The sequence below is a fragment of the Homo sapiens genome, chromosome 7, assembly GCF_000001405.40.
Source record: "Homo sapiens chromosome 7, GRCh38.p14 Primary Assembly".
In the NCBI taxonomy this organism is placed as follows: Eukaryota; Metazoa; Chordata; class Mammalia; order Primates; family Hominidae; genus Homo; species Homo sapiens.
The window spans coordinates 131,696,302-131,703,046 of record NC_000007.14 but is presented as its reverse complement, the minus strand read 5'-3'; the positions used below and the strand labels follow the sequence as shown (position 1 = coordinate 131,703,046).

The 6,745-nt window shown below is 40.7% G+C and overlaps 1 pseudogene; it reads left to right on the top strand.

Moving 5' to 3' along the window:
- On the top strand, positions 366–823 carry RPS15AP22 (ribosomal protein S15a pseudogene 22; annotated as a pseudogene).

Genomic DNA, 6,745 nt, shown 5'->3' with positions numbered 1-6,745 from the left:
TGGCTTGCTTGTTTTACCCATAGATATCTAATTGCTCCAGCACTATTTGTTGAAAAGACTGTACTTTTCCATTGAATTACTTTTGTATTTTTTTCAGAAATCAGTTGGCATGCAGGGTAGAAAGAAAGAAATTAAACTGTCCCGACTTGCAGATGACATGATTACCCATGCAGAAAATTCCAAGGAATCTACAACAAAAACTCCTAGAGCTAGTAAATGAGTTCAGCAAGGTCACAGAATATAGTATTAACATACGAAAATCAATTACATTTTCATATCCTACCAATGAACACATGGAAACCAAAATTAAAATTACAATGCCACTTATAATTGCTCAAAAATAAAATATTTAGGTGTAAATCTAGCTCTTTCTGCCATCTCTCTGTGCTGCCACAATGGTGTGCATAAATGTCCTCGTTGATGCTCTCAAAAGCATCAACAATGCTGATGAAGCAAATGGCAGGTTCTTATTAGGCCATGCTCCAAAGTCACTGTCCGGTTTCTAACTGTGATGGTGAAGCATGGTCACATTGGTGAATTTGAAATCACTGATTATCACAGAGCTGGGAAAATTGTTGTGAACCTCACAGACAGGCCAAATAATTGTGGAGTGATCAGCCCCAAATGTGACGTCCACCTCAAAGATCCAGAAAAATCACAAAATAATCTGCTCCCATCCTGCCAGTTTGGTTTTATTGTACTGACAACCTCAGCTGGCATCATGGACCATGAAAAAGGAAGCTGAAAACACACAGGAGAGAAAATCCTGGGATTCTTTTTCTAGAGACGTAATACATATTGACAAATAAAATGTCTCAGGGACAGAAAAAAAATCTGAAAAAACCCCAACATATACAGGAGTATGCTGAAAACTGCAAAACATTAATGAAAGAAATCAAACACCTAATTAAAATGGAGAGACATACTATGTTCGTGGATTGGAAAACTCAACAGAGTAAAGATGTCAATTCTCCCCAAATTTATACACAGGTTTGATGCAATTGCTGTCAAAATCCTGGCAAAAAAAATGTGACGATGTTTTATAATCTTTTTTTTTTTAGACAGAGTCTCACTCTGTCACCCAGGCTGGAGTGCAGTGGTGAGATCTCAGCTCACTGCAACCTCCACCTCCTGGGTTCAAGTGATTCTCCTGCCTCAGCCTCCTGAGTAGCTGGGATTGAGCACAATTGAGCCACCATGCCCAGCTAATTTTTGTATTTTTAGTAGAGACAGGGTTTCCCCATGTTGGCCAGGCTGGTCTTGAATGCCTGACTTCAAGTGATCCACCTGCCTCAGCTTCTCAAAGTGCTGAGATTACAGGCGTGAGCCACCACACCCAGCAATGTTTTACAATCTTAAAAAATCCTTAATTCAACAGTGTTTCCTGATTTCAACTGAAAGAATGTATGTATGTCTGCATGTATGTACATGTATGTGTATGTAAGTGTGGGATTAAGGTTTAATTCAATTCAGTGAAATACAACCCACCGTTGGGCTTGGCCATTCATGGGAGGCCAACAGGTCAAAAATCTCTTCCACCCACTATGTTCAGCTTATATGAGATACAAAATAGAATCACCTGTAAAACGAAGATGTATGTGGATCACTATATTTTACATCTTGCATCCAGAAATGCTTTACTTTGCCTTTTCTTCCTTCACCCTTGTCTGAGACCCACATGGGAGCTATGTCTTTCCCTTGCACCTGCCTCTCAGAACAAAGCTGAGCACAGATGAGGTCTTCAAGAAATACCAGAGCTGACCCTTTATCTAGTCACTTTTTCCTTCACTTTCCTCTTGCCCTCTTCCAAACTAAGAGAGATCCAATATCTATTGGGCCATTTGAGATCCACACAGTGCTCTTCCCTTCTTCTTACTCAGCCAAGAATGCTATTTACTCTTTTGTCTTCTTCAAACAGTTTTTCTCTGCTCCACATTCCCAGCAGCCCACCAGTGTCCTGGTCTGATTATGGAACACTTGTTGATATTCACCACGGTACCCTTGTGGGTGTCTTCTCTACCCACCGATGTGTCTAGACTTCCATAAATGTCAGCATTGAGAAAAGCAGGTTAAAAAATTAGTCATGAGTCAATGAGGAGGGCACACAGCTCTGAGGTGGGACCCAGAGCTATGGGGCTGAGGGGACATCTGGAGTGTTTGACTGTGGTGACTCACAAATCAATGTGACACAACATTCTATGAGAAAGTCAAATTCCATTAAACAGCTGCTCTTAGTAGTGATTGGAAATTTTATTGGTTGATAATCCAAATGTAAATCACAGACTTAATTTCACACATTTCAATCCAGAAGTCTTGATGCTGTGTGAACATAGCCATGATTAGACTCTACTGAGTTCCACTGCTCTGCTAACTTCAAGGCAACTTGAAACACTCTACAATTGTTCACATGGTACTCATGCCCAAAACACGGGCTCTGGCTTCACTGCCAATGGATAGGATGAACTGTAATTAACAAATCAATGAGTATTTACTGCCTGAGTACCCTCCGAGTGCCAGATTCTGCACTAAGCACATTGGTAGACAAAAAGGCAAACAAGTTTTGGCCTCTCCTCTCCAAGATCTTACAATCTAATGGCAGGAAAAAAAGAGCTATCACATAAGAAACAACTGAGAATGTCTTAAATGATGTACTGATATCTACATTTGGTAGGTAAGTTACAAGCAGAGTAATCAGAATAAATGGCAATATCAGGGAAGATTTCACAGCCAGGGCAAGATTTTCACTGTGACTTTCAGATGCCTGGTGATTGGGTGCTTGGTGAGGAGAAGAGAAGCTGTTTGAAGCAGAAGGAACTTGCCAGCCCCACGAAGACAGGAAGTTGTCTAGCTAGCTGCTGTGCCCACCTCCAGAGCTACGTTGAGTGTCCCTTCCACAGCGAGTGGGAAGTATATGGAGATGACATCCTCCCCAGCTGATCCAGATGGATACTCACCTCACTAGTTCTCCCTAGAACTTAAGGGGACCAGCTGCTGATACCTCAGAAAAGCACAATTTAATGAAAGAAGCATAGATTTGGGGGTAGGGCCAATTCAAATTCATTGCTTAGATGACCTCATGCAAGCTACTTTTCCTCTCTAAGCTTTAGTCTTTTTATGTGCTAAATGGGACTAATAATGGTACCAAACTCATAGGGTTGTAGTGCAGAATAAATAATGCATGCACACTGCCTGGAACATAATACATAGTTCATAAAAAAGTAACTCTTGTCATTGTTTTATACAGTCAGTATTTGTGTAGATTTATCCATATGGGTGCCCATTTCTTCCCACATCCTTATGCTTCTACCTGGGATCTTTTTCCTACTGTCTGGAGAACTTTTTAGTATTTCCTTTAGGGTAGGTCTGCTAGTAAAAAAATTTCCCATTTTTGTTTGCCCAAAAATGCTTTATTTCACCTTCACTTTTGAAGGACATCTTCAATTAATGGGTATAGAATTCTAGGTTGGCAATTATTTTCTTTCAGCACTTTGAAGATATCATTACATTGTCTTCTAGCTTCCATCATTTCTAGCGAGAAGCCAGCTGTTGATCTTATTGCTGTTTGTTTGAAAGTAATGTATATTTTCTCCTCTTTGGTTGATTTTAATATTTTTCTCTTTCCCTTTTGTTTAAGGCCATTTTATTAAGATAGGCCTAGATATATGGTTTTATTTGTGTTTATCCTGCTTGAGGTTTATGGTTCTTAATAAGCTCATGACTTGATTTTTTGTCACTTTTGGAAAATTCTTGGTCGTTATTTTTTTCAAATATTGTTTCTGCTCTCTTATCTGTCTCCTCTTTTTTTGGGATTCCCGTTGCACATATGATAGACCTTTGCACCATGTCCCTTCTATCTCTTATACACCTTCCTGAATTTTCCATCTTTTTCTTTAGTCTGGAAATTTTCTTGTCTTCAAGCTCCCTATTCTCTTCATGTGTGTTAAATCTGTTGTAAAACTCATACTGTGCTGCATTTTTTCAGTTCTAGAATTTTTTGTTTGTTTGTTTATGGGTTTCCAGTTCTCTCTTCTCTACCTTATTTTACTTCCTGAGTATGTTAACTATTTATTTTAAAGTCCATTTCTGATCATTCTAAAATCTGTATCTACTGTGGGTTTATTTATACTATCTGTTTTTTCTCTACTTTTTTTGTCACATCGTCTTTTCTCTGGAGATAACTCACATACCTGAAGCCCAATGACACCACGATTATTTTCCAAACTATGTCCTTAACTCTACCTGCTACTCCGCCCACTTTTCGGAATTTAATTATCTCAATCGCTTTCCCTATCACGTCATGCTTTTATAGAATTCTAACAAGTTTATATCATGGTCCTTTAAACATAGGATTACAATGCAATACTTATTTCCTCACAGCATCCAAAATGGCATTTGAGGATTTTGTGAATCAGACTTAACCTTCTGACTCTGCCTCTCACACATCCTACAATCCTGCAAAGTTGAACTAGTCCCATTGCTTGTTGCCCTGTGTTTAGTCGCTCACTTTTTTCCTGTTTTTCTACCCCAGTGCACATTTCAGAGTTATTTCCAGCATGTGGAATCCCCCTTCTCTTGTATCTGCCTACCCAAATTCTATCACCTAAGTCCCAGATTAACTGACATCCCTCCAAAAAGGAAACCCTGAATCTTCAGAGTTTATATTAATCTCATCCTTCTCTGAGCACCCACAGCCTTCTATCTGAATGTCATTTATGTCCAGATCTCACTTCCACCAGCAGCTAATTGAGGATGGTGGCAGGCAGCCATTGTTCCTCTCTTCTAAAGATCCTTTCTTCCTTCTAGGAGCATGGTTATATGCTCATCTGACTTTCCATTTAGGAACGACCTCTTCCCACTCTCAGACTGGATGTTTCTAGCAAAACTGACTCCCATCCCTGGCTCCAGGGCTAGGGATTGGTTCAGGGCTGGGACAACAAAACCTGGGAGCCTCAGCCATGGAACTTATGCTGGAAGGCAGGCATTCAAGGCTGAAAGGATGTCATGCTATATCTTTTTCTAACTAAAACACTACAAAGTCTCCCATGTCACTTAGAAGAGAAGCCTAGAACATTCTATATACATCTCGTACTCCACCTCTCAACTGCTTCTTTTTTTTTTTTTTTTTTTGAGACGGAGTCTCGCTCTGACGCCCAGGCTGAAATGCAGTGGCATGATCTCGGCTCACTGCAACCTCCACCTCTCAGGTTCAAGCAATTCTCCTGCCTCAGTCTCCAGAGTAGATGGGATTACAGGCGCACACCACAATGCCTGGCTTATTTTTTGTATTTTTAGTAGAGACGGGGTTTCACTGTGTTAGCTAGACTGGTCTCGAACGCCTGACCTCAGCTGATCCATCCACCTCAGCCTCCCAAAGTCCTGGAATTACAGGTGTGAGCCACCATGCCTGGCCTCAACTGCTTCTTTGACCTTTAACCCTATTATTCTTCTCCTCACCTACTCCACTTCAGCCACACTGGCCACTTTGATATTCCTGAGACATGCCAGACATAGCCCTGCCTTAATGCCTTTACTCTATCTGCCTGGACCACCCTTCCTCACACATCCATGTGGCTAACTCCAAATAGAGACTTGAAGAAGTCTCTGCAAATCTCCCTTTATCGGCAAGACTTCCTCTGAATGCCCTATTTAATGCTGGCACTCACCATCACCACCTCACTATTCCTAATGTCCCTTATTCTGCTCTGCTCTTTTTTCCAAATCACTTCCTCTTCCCAATGTATTCTTTAATTTCCTTATTCATACATTTACTTATGTAAACATCTGGTGTAAACATACACTAGAATCTAAGCTCACCAAGGGCAGCGATCTTTGTCCGCTTTGTTGACTAGTATCTCTCAAGCCCTAGAACAGTCCCTGGCTCAGAGAAGGACTGCAGAAATCTCCATCAGCTGTGGCATCACTTGGAATCTCTCATTTCTGTAAGTGTATCCCTGCACCCCACCTTTTATTTGGGTACTTAAAAGATGTTGATGTTCAGCTAGAGTGAGTGTCCTGTGAAAGTATCACCTTCACGGGCTGCTGTGGCCCCAGCTCACTTTTGCTCTCATGAGCAGGGACAACTCTTGCGCTGAAGCCACCCTTTCCCACCCTCCTCACTTTAGGAGAAATTCTATTAATCAGGCAGAGAAATCAAGCTGGGAAAACATGGACTTCCATTGGACTCTGGGAAATTGAGATTGAGCTAAACAGAAACTCTAGGTAAAATAAATGTATCGAATGCAGTAAAATAAATCTGGGAACACAGTAAATCATAGTAAGCGCAAATGTGGTTCAAATGGCCTCCTGATGTCAAAATGTAAATGTTAACCAAAAATGTCATGCTTTTGCACTTTGCAGGTCATTTTCATGTCTATATTTCACATCGTCTTCAACAACTCTAAGAAATAAATCACGTCCCTCTTTGGAGATAAGGAACCGATACTTAAGGAGAAGGGAAGATGCAAACAGAGCCATTCAGTCATGTGGTGAGCCTGGAACCCAGGCTCAGCTATCATAGAGCAGTTTTTTCTGCTGGGTGTTTGAAGCCCAGGGGTGTATGCCAGTGCACCCGGGGGTCTTAAATCCACAGTGCAGATGTGATACGTCTCCCCAAAGCATCAGTTCTATCCCAACGTTCACAGAAATAAAAAATGTTATTCTTAGATTAAAACAAATGCAGATTTTGCATAAAGCACAATGTACAATATTTGCATAAATTACTAAGATAAGAAAATTCAGCTTAAGA